This window comes from Homo sapiens (assembly GCF_000001405.40).
Source record: "Homo sapiens chromosome 1 unlocalized genomic scaffold, GRCh38.p14 Primary Assembly HSCHR1_CTG1_UNLOCALIZED".
Taxonomy (NCBI): Eukaryota; Metazoa; Chordata; class Mammalia; order Primates; family Hominidae; genus Homo; species Homo sapiens.
The window spans coordinates 137337-155554 of NT_187361.1; the positions used below are offsets into that span (position 1 = coordinate 137337).

Consider the following 18218-nt stretch of genomic DNA (forward strand, 5'->3'; position numbering starts at 1 on the left):
TATCTGCATCCCACATTTTATTAAGTTTTTAAAAAATTTTCTTTCAGTTTAAACTATTTTTTTTGTGTGTGAAACTTTTCTTGGCCAATGGGTTTTTCTGAAGTATTTTGTTTAATGTTCAAATGTTGGGGTGTTATTGTACATATCCTACTGTTGTCCATCTCTGGTTCATGATACAATGCATGTTCTCCATTGCACTTAGATAACATGCCTCCATGTCTCTGGAGAATTCCTCAGTCTTTCTAAAATGCTTTTGATGAATACTGGCAGTTATTTTGTAGAATGTCCCTCCTCAATTTCAGTTAGTCTGATGTTTTCTCACGGTTAGGACTAAAGTTATACATTTTGTCTAAGAATACCATAGAATTGATGTTTTGTCCTACTCAGTGCATCATATAAGAAGTTACATGAAGTTCATTTATCTTATTATTAGTAATGTTAACTTTGATCACTTGGCTAAGTTGACATCTCCACTTTGAAGTTACTATTCTATAATTATCTTGTGGGAAGATACTTTCATATTATGCAAATATGTTCTTTCCCAACATATATTCACCACTAATCTTAGCATCCCTCCAAGGTTCTTTCTTGCAACAATTATTACTATGATATTTGCAAAGTGATGATTCTTATATTTTATGTCTCCTACATTTAATGAAATCTTACTGTAATAAAATACTACCCATTCTCAATCTTTGGTTTATTATTTATGTCAATATGGATTTTTTTTTGAGTTGGAGTCTTGTTTTGTCATCCAGGCTGGTGTGCAATGGTGCGATTTCCGCTCACTGCACTTCCACCTTCCGGGATTCAAGCCATTATCCTGCCTCAGCCTCCGGAGTAGCTAGGACTACAGGCATGTGCCACCATGCCCGGCTAATTTTTGTATTTTTAGTAGAGGCAGGGATTCACCACATTGGTCAGGCTGGTCTCGAACTCCTGACCTCAAGTGATCTGCCCGCCTCTGCCTCCCAAAGTGCTGGGAATACAGGCATGAGCAACCGCACCCGGCATGGATTAATTGAAAATTTTCTTCTGTAGATTGTAATATATTACTATTGTTATCTATTTTATTGCCCCAATTTTCTCAAATTTGGCTATGGAAGTTTATTCAAAGTGGATCTGTTTCCCTTTCACATTTTCCCCATTTTGTGAGCATTTCCTTACTTCCTAACATGACAAAATATTTCAAACTAATCTTGTATTTTCCCTGCCCGATCCTGATATCAAATATGTCCACAAGGAGCCTTGGTTCCTTTAATTGGAGAGTGGTGTTCTCATTGTTACTGGGATGATGTTGTTTCTAGGCCCTTTTGTTAGAGGAGCTAGAAAATATATGTATGTATACTCACACATTTATACACATCTGTACTTATTTATACAATTATCCATCTGTACGTATACTAAAAACAATGATTTCATGAAGCTTTTGATCCCAATCCAACACTAGATAAAGACTATATAGGCCCATTTATTTGCAAATCATCACATAAACATAGAAGAATTATTAACAATATAAGCTGTAGCTTATGCTAAATGTTGATAGGAACAGACAATAAGTTATGGAGAACTTCAGAGGACACTAAGGTTGGATGGGATTTTGGAAGTTGTACAGGTCAATGCCACTCCATCTATTGGCTGAGTTTCACTAGGTTAATACATGAACAACAACAAAAATAACCTAGATCAGAAGTTAAAGATCATTTTATTGACTATCTGCCGTGTCTGTGCCATTGCAGTGTACTAGGTGCACTTACGAGTCCTCTACTTACAAACTGCTTTTCACAAAATATGAAACTCCAGGCAAAGGTTCAGACATACGACGTTTGTTTTTAAAATCTTTCTACAGCCTTGTATCCTTTTTCCTTTCCTTCCTTTCACCCTTTTTAAAATGTGTTATGAGTTTTATCTTAGACTAACATCATCTGTAATGTTGCTATACGCCAGTATTCAGTTGCTGTGTTTGATGAATCATAAAATGGTGTAAAACTTCAATTAGTGTACTTTTTAAATAAAGTATCTATGAATGCATCCAGCAAAATGTTTATGATTTGAGTATTCACAAAATATTACTTTTCTCTGGATCTAACAATAATGTGAAAACCCAAAATGAATATAAAATGTTAGCTAATAATAGATTTCAAAGTATTCTACAAGTACGAAAAATATATGATATTGTTACTTTCATATATGTAAAACACTAATAATTTTTGTCAACATAAACATCATTTTTACACCTAAACTTGTATTAATTCAATTAAGAGTTAATATAGTATCCTAAAGTCATCAAATATTCAAAAATAGGATGTATTCTGACTTGGAATATACATAAAATTACCTATTTTCAGCTGAGCACAGTGGCTCATGCCTGTAGTTCCAGCACTTTGGGAGGCTGAGGTAGGCAGATTGCTTGAGATCAGGAGTTTCAGACCAGCCTGGCCAACATGGTGAAACCCTGTCTCTATCAAAAATACAAGTTAGCCAGGCATGGTGGAACCTGCCTGTAATCCCAACTACTCTGAAGGCTGAGGCAGGAGAATCACTTGAACCCAGGAGGCAGAGGTTGCAGTGAGCCAAGATTGCACCACTGCACTCCAGCCTGGGTGACAGAGTGAGGCTCCATATCAAAATAATAATAATAATAATAATAGTAATAATAATAATAACTATTTTCTGTGAGTCCAAAGATAAAATAGCATTACAGAATACCTAATAATCCTGAGTTTGGTTTTCTTGGTTTTATTTTTTCATTTAGTTTTGTTCACTTTGACCAGTGGGCTGGTGGTTCTTAGGTGCATCAAGGTTTTCATTTTTCAGTTCAAGATTTGAAAACCTTAATGTGGTAATTTCTCTAATTGTTTTGACAGTTACGTCCCAGGTTGCAAGTTAAAATAAAATTCCCATTTTACTAAAGTCCTTGGTTTATTAATGATTTTATAATGACTTAATATATAATTTAATGAGTAATGAGGGGTACTACATTTCAGAAATCAACACTGAAGAACTTATTCATGGAACCAAACACCACCTGTTTCTCAAACACCTATTAAAATAAAAATACATATAAATAATTTTTAAAAATAAACACTAAAAATAAAGTGAAAATGAAAAAATATATATCCAGGTTAAAAAAAAAACTACTTCAGTTAAACAATAAATACTTTTTGGGGGGACTCAACTCTACTACAAAATTATTCGTTGTTTATTATAATCAATAATACAGGTAAAATAATAAGTTTTTAAAAATGGAAAAATTGTAAAAAATAAAACGATATTAACAAATATTGGTATACTGGTGAAGGCCGGGCTCAGTGGCTGCTTTCCAAAGTGGTTACACCAGTCGGGCATGGTGGCACACACCTGTAATCTCAGCACTTCCGGAAGCTGAAGCAGGCAGATCACTTGAGCTCAGGAGTTTGACACAAACCTGGGCTACATGACAACACCCCATTTCTACCAAAAACTGTAAAAATCAGCTGCTCATGATAGCATGCATCTGTAAGTGCCAGCTACTTAGGAGGCTGAGGTGAGAGGATCACTTGTGCCTGGAAGGTCACAGCTGCACTGGCCATGTTCATGTCACTGCACTCCAGCCTGGGCAACAGAGCAAGATTTTGTCTCAAAAAAAAAAAAAGTTGGTGACAATTGGAATAATTGGAACTCACATACATTACTGGTGGGAATATAAAATGGTGTAATCAATTTGGGTGTTTTCTTGGCATTTGATTTTTTTAAAAAATCAAGATATTGTTTCCCTATGTTGCCCAAGGTTGTCCTGAACTCCCGAGCTAAGAAAATCCTCCAAACTCAGCGTCTCAAATACCTGAGATTAAAGGTGTGAGCCACTGTGCCTGACCAGTGTAACCACTTTGAAAAACAACGTGGCAGTTTCTCAAAGACTAAATGTATAGTAATCACATAATGCAACAATTTCACTCCTGAGTGTAAATCCAAGAGAAATAAAAATATATGTTCACACTAAAACTTACGTACGAGTGTTCATAACAGCCTGACTCATGATGGTGAATACTCAAAAACAACACAAATGTCCATCAACTAATGAATGGATAAACATAAACTATTACTCAGCTACAAAAGGAAAGAAATCCTGATACACACTATAACATGATAGAAATTTGAAAACATTCTGCTAAGAGAAAAAAAAGCAAATTACAAAAGATCACACATTGTACAATTCTATTTCTATAAAAGGTCCAGATTAGGCAAAACTACAATGACAGAAAATAAATCACTGGTTGCCTATGAACATGGGGTACGTAGGAGGTAGCGGCTAAGAGGTGAGGGTTTCTCACTCATAAGTGGGTAACTCACAAGTGGGTGATCACTTCTAAGAAAGACTGTGGTGATGGATGCACAGCTCCTTGAATATTCTAAAAACCACTCAATTGTATACTTTCTTTTTTTTCTTTAGTTATTTAAAGACGGTCTCCTTTTGTCACCCATGCTGTAGTGCAGTGGTGCCATCTGGTCTCACTGCAACCTATGGCTTCTGGGCTCAAGTGATCTTCCAGTCTCATGTCCCCAAGTAGTTGGGACTACAGGCATGAGCCACCACACCAGCTAATTTTTGTATTTTTGCTAGAGATGCTGTTTTGCCATGTTGCCCAGGCTAGTCGCAAACTCCTGAACACAAGCGATCCACCTGCCTCAGCTGCCCAAAGTCTTAGCGTTATAGGAATTAGCCACTGCACCTGGCCTGAATTGTGTACTTTGATAAATGAATTGCATGATACGTTAATCATATTTCAATAACGTTATTATTTTAAAAATGGCTGGGCATGGTGTGGTGACTCACGCCTCTGATCTCAGCACACTGGGAGGCCAAGGTGGGTGGATTGCCTGATTTCAGGAGTTCGAGACTAGTCTGGCCAACATACTGAAACTCTGTCTCTACTAAAAATACAAGAATATTAGCTGAGAGTGGTGACATGGGCCTGTAATTCCAGCTAGTCGGGAGGCTGAGGCAGGGGAGTTGCTTGAACCAGGGAGGTGGAGGTTGCAGTCAGCTGAGATCACACCACTGCATTCCAGCCTGCATGACAGAGTGAGAGTCCATCTCCAAAAGAAAGAAAGAAAAAGAAAATGGGCATTGAACACAGGTGGCTCCCACATACATATAATCCAAGCACTTTGGGAAGCTGAGGCAGAATGATCACTTGAGGCCAGGAGTCTGACAACATCCTGAGCAACACAGCAAGATCCCATCTGTACAATAAAAAATAAAGAAGTTAGCTGGGCATAGGGGCAAATATATGTAGTCCCAGCTACTTGGGAGGCTGAGGTGGGAGGACTGTTTGAGTCCAGGGTTTCAGGCTGCAGTGAACCATGATCATGCCATTGCACTGCAGCCTGGGTGACAGAACAAAACCCTGTCTCTAGAAAGAAAAAAAAAGAAATCCAAGTTTTTATCACCTTCTGAGAGTAATCAACATTCAGGAGAAACACACAAGAACAAAAGACCACTGAATGGTTGAGGGTGGGTTGCTGGTTAGGTTCAGTGGCCAGCTGAGTAGTATCTGAAAAATTCATTAGTAAAATTATGGCACTAGGGGTGAGTCATGCAGTCGAAGGATGAATACTAAATCCAGTACAAACACCCATGGTCTTTCTTTACATGAATTCCAGTGAAAAATTTCTAAGTGCCTAAAATAGCAAGTGGTCTGAAATGATGGCAGCAGTTTATTAAAGACTGAAAAAAGAGGCCAGGCACGGTGGCTCACACCTGTAATCCCAGCACTTTAGGAGTCCAAGGCCAGTGGATCACAAGGTCAGGAGTTCAAGACCAGCCTGTCCAACATGCTGAAACCCCGTATCTACAGAAAATACAAAGCTTAGCCGGGCATGGTGGCATGTGCCTGTAGTCCCAGCTACTTCAGAGGCTGAGACAAAAGAAATGCTTGAACCCGGGAGGCAGAAGTTGCTGTGAATTGAGATTGTGCCACTGCACTCGAGCCTGGTGACAGAGGAAGATGCTGTCTCAAAAAAAAAAAAAGAAAGAAATGGCATCTTCAAGAACCACAAGAGAGTTCCACACTGAAGAAGCTCTGATTCTGCATTTGCTGAACTACTGATTTGAGTTAGCCAATATAACACTATCTTAGATAAAGTGTACAAACAACTCAATTTCATCTCCTCATTAATAACTGATTAGTCTAATATCAATTCTGATTTTTAAAAAGCTAATTAGAAAAAGAATTAATTATAGAACCAATAAGAGGTTTGAATAGTTACAAGCTATTCAAAGGAGAATTCAAAAAACCACTCAGGTATGAGGCCATAAAGTATGATGAAATAAATTTCATTAATATATTTTAAAATAAACTGATTAGACAGGCAACAACACCTGGGCACGGGTCTCCTCACCTCCAGCAACACAAACCCAATCGCGCAGCTATGGGGTTGCAAAGGCTGCATAGTGACAAACAGACTGCTCTGAGCTGAGATTTCTTTACTTGTATCTGTATTCTGAGACCGGGTCTCACTCTGTCACTCTGGCTGCAATGCAGGGGTGCACTCATAGCTAACTGCAGCTGTGACCTCCTGGGCTCCGGGGATCCTCCTGCCTCACCCTCACCATAGCTACGGCTACAGATGAACACCAAAACACCCAGCTAATTTTTTTTTTTTTTTTTTTTTTTTTTTTTTTTTTTTTGTAGAAAGAGGAGCCTTGCTATGTTGCCCAAGCTGGCCTCAAACTCCCGCCCTCAAGAGATCTGCCCACCTCAACAACCTAAGTAACAGGTTCTACAGGAAAATACCACTATGCCGGGATAATTATATTTTATTAATTTTTATTTGCGTACACAGGAAGTCTTGCTGTGTTGCCCAGGGTGGTCTCAAACTCCTGGACTCAAACCATTCTCCCATCTCTGCCTCCCAAAGTGCTGAAGCTACGGACATAAGCCACTACACCTGGCCCGACTTAAGATTTCTGTAATCTAGCATCCCATACTTCATATAATTGGGAAAAGCAGTAGTGGTTTTTTTTTAATTACTTAGCATTTCAACAAGAATCAACCATCTCTCACCATTGCCAGGGACCTGGTCAGAACCACAATCATCTCCCTCCTGGAGGTTGCCACAGCATGGCCTCCCTGCTTCTACCCAAATCTTCCCACAATCTTTCTCAACTCAGCTGCCATGGGATGCTTTTAAATCAGTAGACAGTTCGTGTCACCTCTCTGCTCAGAACCCTTCTGCATCTCCCATCTCAGACAGAATAAAAACCAAAGCCCCAGCAATAGCCTCCCAGGGCTTACACAATCTGTACTGATCTGAGTCCAACAACTCCCTGGCCTCCTTCCCTACTTCTCTCCCTCTCTCTACTCCACAGACCTCTTTCCTGAGCTTCAGACACACCACGGAGTTCCCTCTTAGCATCTTTATTCTGTTGTTTCTGCCTAAAATGCTCTTCCCTCAGTACCTTGGCCAGCTCCTTCCCCTCCTTCAAGTCTTTGCTCAATTTTCACTTAGGAGGCCAACCTGACCACTCTATTTAATATTGCTATCTGTCCCTATTCCTGCCATACTCACTCATTTCTTTTTTCTATTTTTTTCTAAGATATAATCTCGCTGTGTCACTCAGACTGGGGTGCCATGGCACGATCACAACGCACTGAGACCTGGAGCTCCTAGGTCAAGAAATTGTCCTGCCTCAGGGCCTCTAGTAGCTAAGACTACAAGTGCATGCCACCACACCCGCTAATTTTTTTTTTTTTCATGTAGACAGGGTATCATTTTGTTGCCCAGACTTATCGTGAACTCCTGGGCCAAAGCAACCATCCTGCCTCAGCCTCCTAAATAGCTGGAATTATAGGTGTGGGCCACCAATTCTGGCTTCGTGTTCATTTCTTCTTGCCGCTGTTACAAACTACCCTACATTGAGTGGCTTAATACACCACAAATCTACTCACTAAGAGGTCTGGGGGCCAGAAGTCCAAAATAGGTCTATTAAGGCTAAAGTCAAGGTGCCAGCAGGACTGCATCCCTTCTGGAGGTTCTGGAGAGAATATGTTCCCTTGCCTTTCCCAGTTGCTAAAGCCACTCCTATTCTTTGGCTCATGGCCCCTAACTGCATCTTCAAAGCCTGAAGCAAAGCATATTCAAATCTCCCTCTGTGACCTGTGCTTCCATCATCAAATCTCCTTCAATTCGGACTCTCTTACCTCCCTCTTTCACTTATAAAGACCTCTTGTGATTGCTGGACACAGAGGCCGTGGCTCACAACCATAATCCCAACAGTTTAGGAGGTCAAAGCAGGAGAAACGCTTGAGGCCAAAACTTCAGGACCAGCCTGGGAAACACAGCGAGACCCCCTCAATTAAACAACAAAAAGAAATAAGAAAAAATTAGCTGGGCATGGTAGTATGCATCTGTAGTTTCAGCTACTTGAGAGGTTGTGGTGAAAGGATCGCTTTAGCCCCAGAGTTCAAGACCAGCCTCGGCAATATAACAAGATCCTATCTCTACAAAAAATACAAAAATTAGCTGGGCATGGATGGTGTGCACCTGTAGTCCCAGATGCTTGGAAGGCTGAGGTGGTAGAATTGCTTGAGCACAGGTGGTTGAGGCTGCAGTTAGCTACAACACCATCACTGCACTCCAGATTGGGTGAAATAGAGACTCTGTGTTCAAAAGAAAAAGAAAAGAAATACACATTTGGTTTCTGCCCCTCATCCTGGCAAAGAGATTCTCAAGCTCTTATAAAGGCCTTGGTGATGAAAGTGATGAGGCATCTTCTGTTTCAATATTTGGTCTTAGTCCCAGGTTTCTAACACAAGAGCCTCTAAGACCTTTGGGATCACCATAGTAAGAATGCATTTGGTGATGTTACTGAGATGACTGGGTGACTGAAAGCTTGTAGACAGCTTCAGAAAAAGGGGTGGTTGTTGTCAGAAGAACAAACCATGTGATTAGAGGCTTGGAACTGTCAGCCTCACCCCCTGGGCTCCAGGAAGAAATAGTGGCCGAAGACTGACTTAATCACCAATGGTCAATGACTTCACCAATCATGCCTGCATAATGAAGCTTTCATAAGCGCCCTCAACAACTGGAGTTGGAGAATGTCTGTGTTGCTGAACACAAGGGAGATACCAGGAATGTAATATGCACAATAGAGGACATGGAAGTTCTATACCCCTCTCGACATACCTTGCCCTGTGTGTGTGTGTTTTTTTTTTTTTTTGAGACAGAGTCTGGCTCTGTCTCCCAGCCTAGAGTGTCATGGCACAATCGTGGCTCACTGTGACCTATGCCTCCCTATCTCAAGCCCCATCCTCTCATCCTCTCACCTCAGCCTCCTGAGTAGCTAGAATTATAGGCACTGAGTAGCTAGAACTATAGATAACTGTGCCTGGCTAATTTTTAGAAAAATCTTTTTGTAGAGATGCATTTTCACCTTGTTACCCAGGCTGGTCTTAATCTCCTGAGCACTTAAGCAATGCTCCCGCCTCAGTCTCCCAAAGTGCTGAAATTACAGGCATGAGCCACTGTGCCCAGCATGTACATCTCTTTCACTGTCTGTTTCTGAGATTTAGCCTTTAAAATGAACCAGTAAAAGAAAGTAAATTGGTGAGATGCAGTGGTTCATGCCCATAATCCCAGCATTTTGTGAAGTTGAGGTGGGAGGATCACGTGAGCCCAGAAATTTGAGACCAGCCTGGGCAACATAACAAGACCCCATCTCTACAAAAAGTAAAAGAACATAGCCAGATATGCTGGTACAGGCCTATAATCTCAGCTATTTGGGAGGCTGAGGTGGGAGGATCACTTGAGCCCAGGAGTCCCATGCTACAGTGAGCTTTGATCACACCACTGCATTCCAGCCTGGCAACAGACTGAGACCCTGTATCTCAGAAAAAAAAGAAAACAATCTGTTTTTCTGAGTTCTTCAAGCAAATGTCCGAGCAAATGATTCCACCCACCAATGGGGGTCATGAAACCCTGTTTTCTAACTGGTTGGTCAAAACTACATGTAACAACCCAAGACTTGCAATTGGCATGTGGAGTGAGGGTAGACTCCTGGGACTGAGCTCCCATCCTGCAGGGTCTGCACTAACTCCAGGGAGTGTCAGGATGGAATTGTAGGATACCCAGTTGGGATCCAGATTGTCTGAAAATCAGTGTAGAAACTCCACATGCACATTTGGTCAGAGGTGTTTGACCGTAACTACTATTCACGAAAAAGGTCTACTCATTAGAACTAAAAATCACAAAATTGTAAGTTCTACAAAAACAAATCAACCTTATCTACCGCCCAGTCCTACCGAACTATAGAATGTGAGAACAGAAGGTCTGACCATGGAGTCGAGAGCTGACAGGAATGTCACCACCATCCTGCTCTCCAAGGACTCCTCATCTTCAACAGACTCCTCATCTTCAATGGGCAGGGTGGAAACTGCAACTTGTGCCATGATCCTTGCACAAGAAAAGTAGTAAGAAAATGAGTGGTAGAAATCCAGTGTCCTAAACTCACATCCAGAGCTGTGAGAGTTTTTTACTGGCTGGATAATTCACAGTTTTCTTGAATCAGGGGAAAAATAAGACTCAGAAACTAGGAATTCGTTTTGCCCAAAACTCTCATCAGATACAGAATCCATCCGCTAACTATCTAGTATTATTTCCATAAGTTAGATCAATTATCACTCCCAAAACAAATGCACATGGCACCCAGAATCTGTGCATTTCTCCAAAGTAAAAGAGGAGGTGGACGGGCGCAGTGTCTCATGCCTTTAACCCCAGCACTTTGGAAGGCCAAGGTGGGTGGATCACCTGAAGTCAAGAGTTCAAGACCAGCCTGGCCAACATGGTGATACCCTGTCTCTACTAAAAATAAAAAAAGTTAGCCAGGTGTGGTGGCATGTGCCTGTAGTCCCAGCTTCTTGGGAGGCTGAGGCAGGAGAATCACTTGAACCCAGGAGGCTAAGGTTGCAGTGAGCAGAGATCGCACCACTGCACCTCAGCCTGGACGACAGAGTGAGACTCTGTCTCAAAAAAAAGGAGGGGAGGAAAGGAGGCAAGGCACTTTACAACCCAGTGATGAGCTACCACAACTCAACACAGCAAAGAGTTGCCAAGCTCCCTTTCTCCCTTGCACAACCAGACACAGAAGAGTTGGTGCAGTGGAATGAGGCTGGATGGAGAGAAGTTCTTCTTCTTTCTTTCCTTTTTTTTTTGAGATGGACTCTCACTCTGTCACACAGGCTGGGGTGCAGTGGTGCAATCTCGGTCACTGTAACCTCTGCCTTATGGGTTTAATCAATTCTCTGCCTCAGCCTTCCGAATACCTGGGATTAGAGGCACCCCCCACCACACCCAGCTAATTTTTTTTTTTTTTTTTTTTTTTTAGTGGAGACTGGGTTTCACTATGTTGGCCAGGCTGGTCTTGAACTCCTGACATTAGGTGATCTACTCACCTCGGTCTCTAAAAGTGCTAGGATTACAGGCATGAGCTGCTGTGCCCAGCCAAGAAGTTCCTCTTCTTACTTAGAAAACAGATCACAGGGCATCAAGTAACACGTAAAATCCTCTATAATAAGCAGCATTATTTTTGGAAAACCTTTCCTAATATTTTGGTATCAGTGAAAAGCCTCAGATTAATTTCAAACACTATAAAAATACAATACATAAACAGAAAATATTAACTGTCAGCAATGCTATAGAGAAATTGGAAGCTGTATGCATTGCTTTATGGAATGTAAAATGGTACAGCCCACTGTGGAAAATGGTTTAGCAGCTCCTTAAAAATATGAAGCATAGAATTATATGATCCATCAACACCCTTTAAGCATATATACCCAAAAGAACTGAGAGCAGGGACTCAAACAGGTATTTGTACACCCGATTAACAGCAGCATTATTCACAGTGGCCAAAAGGTAGCCCAAACCTAATGCCCATCAGTAGGTGAATAGATAAAGAAAATGTAATATATACATACACAGAGTATTATTCAGCCATAAAAAGAAAAATATCTGGCCAGATTCAGGGGCTTACACCTGTAATCCCAGTATTTTGGGAGGCCAAGGTGGGCAGGTCTCTTGAGCCCCATATTTTGAGACCAGACTGAACAACATGGCACATTTGGTTAGAAGTGTTTGACCATAACTACTATTCCAGAAAAAGATCTACTCATTAGAACTACAAATCATAAAATTATAAGTTCTACAAAAACAAATCAACCTTATCTACCACCTAGTTCTACCAAATTATATCATGTTAGAACAGAAGGTCTCACCGTGAACTCGAGAGCTGATATGAGAAATGTCACCACCATCCTGCTCTCCACGGAATCATCTTCAACAGACTCCTCATCTTCCATGGACTCCTCATCTTCCATGGGCAGGGTGGAAACTGCAACTTGTGCCATGATCCCTGTGCAAAAAAGTAGTAAGAAATTGAATGGTAGAAATGCAGTGTCCTAAACTCACATCCAGAGCTGTGAGAGTTTCTCACCGGCTGCCAAATTGTTTTTTGGGTCAGAGAAAAAAATAAAACTTGGTAACCTGGTACTCGACTTGCCCCAAACTCTCATCAGATAGAGAATCTATCCGCTAACTTTCTATCTAGTATTATTTCCATGAAGTTACATCAATATCACTCTCAAAATAAATCCAGGTGGAAGACTAAATCCAAAGCTAGCAGAAGGAAAGAAATAATAAAGAGCATAATTAGAGCATAAATCAATAAAACAGAAGGTTGGAGAGCAGTAGAATGAAAAAATGTAGATTCTTTGAAAGATCAAGCCTTTCACTATATTGACTGAGCAAAAGATGGAAGACTAATTATTAAAATAATAAATGAAAGCAGAGCCATTACTACCAACTTTATAGAAATACAAAAGGATTACAGGAGTATACTGTGAACAACTGTCTAGCAACAAACTAGGTGCCCTGGATGAAATGGATGAATCGCTAGAAAGACACAAACTACCAAAGTGGCTCAAGAAGAAAGAGAAAATCTGAATAGACCTATAACCTAGGAGATTGAATTAGTAATCGAAAGCGATTAACAAAGAAACATTTATGACCAAATAGCTGCATTAACTGGTGAGTCAACCTAACATTTAAAGAAGAATTAATACCATTTCTTCTCAAACTCTTCTGACAAAATATATGAAGAAGGAATACTTGCTAATTCATTTTTTGATAACAGCATTATCCTTATACCAAAGACAAAGAGAGCACAAAAGAGAGAAATACAGCACTATATCCCTTATGAATATATAAGCAAAAATCTCAGCAAAATACTAGCAATACTAGCAAAATACTAGCAGCAGCAATACTGTATAATCAAAGGATTGTAAACTATCACCCTTTGAGATTTATCCCCAAAATGCAAGGGTGGTTCAACATATAAAAAATCAATCAGTGTAATATGCTGTAACAGTAAAATGAATAAGCACGTGATTATTTCAATTGATGCAGAGAAAACGTTGATGAAATACAACACCCTTCTATAATAAAAATACTCAATAAACTAGGCATAGAAGGGATCTTCTGCAACATGACAATGGGATGTACAAAAACCCAACAGTTAATATCATGATCAGTGATGAAACACTGAAAGCTGTTTTCCTAACATCTAGAAGAAAAGGATGGTGCATTTGCCACTTGTATTCAACGTAGCACTGGCAGTTCTAGCCAGAGCAATTAGGCAAGACAAAGAAATAAAAGGCATCTAAATTAGAAATAAAAAATAGGTGTAAAATTATATCTACACATGATCTTATGGGTATAAAGCTCCAAACAAAACACAAAACCGATTATAACTAATAAAAGAGGCAGGATGCAAACAAACATAGGCAAATGAGCTATATTTCTATATAGTTGTAAAGAACTATGAAAACATTTTAAAAATTCCATTTATAATGACATCAAATAATACGTTATTCAGGCATACATCTAACCATGGTGGTATACACAAAACATTGCTGCAAAAAACTAAAGAGAGTGGAAATAAGTGGAAAGACATTCTGTGTTCACGGGTTGTAAGACAATATTGTTAAGATGACAATACCATCTAAAGTAATCTACAGATTCAATGCAATACCATCAAAATCCCAAAGGCATTTTTGCAGAAACAAAGAAACTCATTCTAAAATCATACAAAAATTCAAAGGATCTGACAGATAAAACAGTCTTGAAAAAGAACATTGGAAAACTCACATTTTTCAGTTTCACAGCCTACTACAAATCTACAGTAATCAAGAGAGTGTGGTACTGGAATAAGACCAATAGACTTTCAGACCAATACAATAGAACAGATTTGAGATCCTACAAATTAGTCCTCACATATATGGTCAATGACGGTTCAACAAGGTGGCCAAGTCTAGTCAAGGGAGGAAAGAACAGTCTCTTCAACAACTGGATGTCAGTGCACAAGAGAGAAGTTAGACCCCTACTTTGCAGTATATACAAAAATTAATTCTAAATTAATAAAAGACTTAAATGTAAGGACTAAAAATATGTAACTCTTAGAAGAAAACACATGGTAAACCTTTATGACCTTTGAGTTTTAAGCGTATTTTGAAATATGACAGAAAAGCACAGATAACAAAAGAAAATACACGAAAATTAGATTTAATCAAAATAAAAAACCCTTTATGTATCAAAGGGTACTATCAAGGGAGTGAAAAGACAACCCATAATATGTGAGAAAATATGTATCTGATAAAATCAAAATGTGTATCTGATAAAAGCTTAATGTTCCACAACTCAACAACAGAATTTCTAAGATCCCAATTAAAAAATAGGCAAAGTACTTGAATAGACATTTCTCCAAAGAAGATACACAAATGTCTAAGAAGGAAAAGAAAAGATGCTAAACACCATTATTCATTAATAAAATGCAAGGCAAAACCCAAATGAGATGCCACTTTGCATCCACTAGTAAGGCTTTCATAACAACGACACAGAAAATCAATGTTGCTAAGGAGGTGGAGAAACTGGAGCCCTCATGAACTGGCTGCTAGGAATAGAAAATGATGCACTTGCTGTGGAAAACAGTTTGGTGGTTCCTCAAAGAATCACACAGAGAAACAGGCGCCGCTGGCTTGCGGGTTCTCCTGGGCTGGCACGGGACGTCCCGGAATCGCAGGCCAGCACTCCTTCCCGCCTGAGGGTCCGTCTGGCCGTGACTCCCGCCCCTCTCCTCCTCCGAAGAGAGATCGGGGCCGCCCCAGGGGCCATCTGCAGCCACAGGGGATGGGGCTGAGGGTCGGTTCCTGCCCTGGTGCAGCCGCCCCTGTGCAGACCGCCTGGCTTGGTCGCAGTCATGGTGACATCTAGCCCCGGTTCTGCGAGGCTGGGCGCGCCAGCCAGCTTGGGAGTCGCCCGGCGCCTGTAGCTGGGCGCCCAGGTGGTGGAGCATGCCCTGGGCGGCCTCTGGATCGCGGGTGCCCCTGGCCTGAGAGCCTGCCAGACCCTGCCCCGGCCCGGCTCCTCCCCTGTCAGAGCTCCAGATCTCTATCCAGGGGCCCTCTGCAGCCACCGGGGATGGGGCTGAGGGCCGGTTCCCACCCCTGTGCAGCTGCTGCAGTACAGACCGCCTGGCTTGGCAACAGCCACAGGGACATTTGGCCCTGCTTCCAAGATGTGGGGAGTGTGGGCGGGCTCGGGAGTTGCCTGGAGGCTGCTGCCTGCACGCAGAAGGCGGCTGCAGCTCGGGTGCCCAGGCAGGCTGGAGGTGCATGGCCTGGTCGGCCTTGGGATCGCCAGCGCGCCAAGACTGAGGGCCCCCAGGCCGTGCCTCCTGACCACTCCTCCACCTGAGGGAGATCGGAGCCGTTTATATGGGCACTCGGCAGTCACCTCGTGTGGGGTTGAGCGGTGGGTTCTCAGTTCTCGCTCCTGTGCAGCTGCTGCCGCAGGGCAGAATGCCTGGCTTGGCTGCAGCCACTGGGACACGTGGCCCTGCTTCTGTGATGCTAGGAGCGCGAGCGGGCTCAGGGGTTGCCAGGCAGGTGCTGCCTGCACACAGGGGGCGACGGCAGCTTGGGCGCCCAGATGGCGGAGCATGGTTTGGGTGGCCTCTGGAATGCGTGCACGCCAGGCCTGAGGGTCACCCTGGTGGGGCCACATACCCCGGTCTTCCTCTGCTGGAGCCTGGAGCAGCTGGAATGGCCACTATTCCGTCACAGGGGATGGAGTTAAGTTTTCTTATCCCACCCATGCACACAAAAAGGTGACTATTCTGTGAGGTAATAAACGTGTTAATTGACTTCATTCATGCCACTCTGCATCCACAAGTAAGGGTTTCATAACAATGACACAGAAAATAAATGTTGCTAAGGAGGTGGAGAAGTTGGAGCCCTCATGATCTGGCTGCTAGGAATAGAAAATGATGCCCTTGCTGCGGAAAACAATTTGGTTGTTCCTCACAGAATGAGCATTGGGTGAAAAATGAAATCAAGATGGAAATGTAAAAAATGTCTTCGAACTGGATGACACAACCTATCAAGACCTCTGGGATACAGCAAAGGCACTGCTAAGAGCAAAGTTTGTAGTCCTAAAAACCTACATCAAAAAGTCTGAAAAAGCACAAACAGACAATCTAAGTTCACATCTCAGGGAACTAGAGAAACAGGAACAAGCCAAACCCAATCCCAGCAAACACAGGAAATAACAAAGATCAGAGCAGAACTAAATGAAATTGACACAACAACAACAACAACAAATACAAAACATAAATAAAACAATAAGTTGGTTATTTGAAAAGATAAATAAAATTGATAGACCATTAGCAAGATTAACCAAGAAAAGAAGAGAGAAAATCCAAATAACCTCACTAAGAAATGAAACAGGGGATATTACAACTGACACCACTGAAATATTAAAGATTATTCAAGGGTACTATGAATACCTTTTGGCACATAAACTACAAAACCTAGAAGAGTTGGATAAATTCCTGGAAAAATACAACTCTCCTAGCTTAAATCAGGAAGAATTAGATACCCCAAGCAGACCAATAAAGCAAGCAGCAAGATTGAAATGGTAATTTTAAAATTACCAGCAAAAAAAGCTGAGGGCCAGACAGATTCACAGCAGAATTCTACCAGACATTCAAAGAATGTCTTCTTTCATTCAAGGAAGAAATGATACCAATCTTTTCATACTATTCCACAAGACAGAGAAAGAAGAAACCCTCCTTATTCATTCTATGAAGCCAGCATCACCCTAATACCAAAACCATGGAAGGACATAACCAAAAAAGAAAACTACAGACCGATATCCTTGATGAACTTAGATGCCAAAATCCTTAACAAAATACTATCTAACTGAATCCGACAACATATCAAAAAATAATCCACCATGATCAAGTGGGTTTTATACCAATGATATAGGAGTGGTTTCACATATGCAAGTCAATAAGTGTGATACACTAAATAAACAGAATTTAAAAAATCTAATATGATTATATCAACAGGTACAGAAAAAAACATTTGACAAAATCTAGCATTGCTTTATGATTAAAGCTCTCAGCAAAATAGGCATACAAGGGACATACCTTAATGTAATAAAAGCCATCTATGACAAACCCACAACCAACATAATACTGAATGGGGAAACGGTGAAAGCATTCACTTTGAGAACTGGAACAAGACAAGGAGACTACTCTCACCACTCCTCTTCAACATAGTACTGGAAGTCCTAGCCAGAGCAATCAGAAAAAAGAAGGAAATAGAGGAAATCCAAATCGGTAAAGAGGATGTCAAACTGTCACTTGTTGCTGATGATATAATCTTTTGCCTAGAAAACCCTACGGACTCCTCTAGAAACTTCCTAGAACCGATAAAAGAATTCAGCAAAGTTTCCAGATACAAGATTAATAGACACAAATCCGTAGCTCTTCCATACATCAACAGCTACCAAGAAGAGAATCACATCAAGAACTCAACCCCTTTTACAATAGCTGCGACAAACAACAACAACAAAAAAACAAAACTTAGGAATATACCTAGCAAAGGAATCAAAGGACAGCTACAATGAAAATTACAAAACACTACTGAAAGAAATCATAGATGGAGCCAAGCACGGTGGCACACGCCTATAATCCGAGCTACTCGGGAAGCTGAGGCAGGAGAATCGCTTGAACCCGGGAGGCAGAAGTTGTAGTGAGCCGAGATCACACCATTGCACTCCCACCTCAGCGACAAGAGCGAAACTCCCTCTGAAAAAAAAAAAAAAACAAGAAAGAAAAG

The 18218-nt window shown here is 41.2% G+C and overlaps 1 pseudogene; it reads right to left on the reverse strand.

Moving 5' to 3' along the window:
• Window positions 1-14905: 14905 nt before the first annotated feature.
• Window positions 14906-16189, reverse strand: LOC124905318 (basic salivary proline-rich protein 1-like; annotated as a pseudogene).
• Window positions 16190-18218: the final 2029 nt, after the last annotated feature.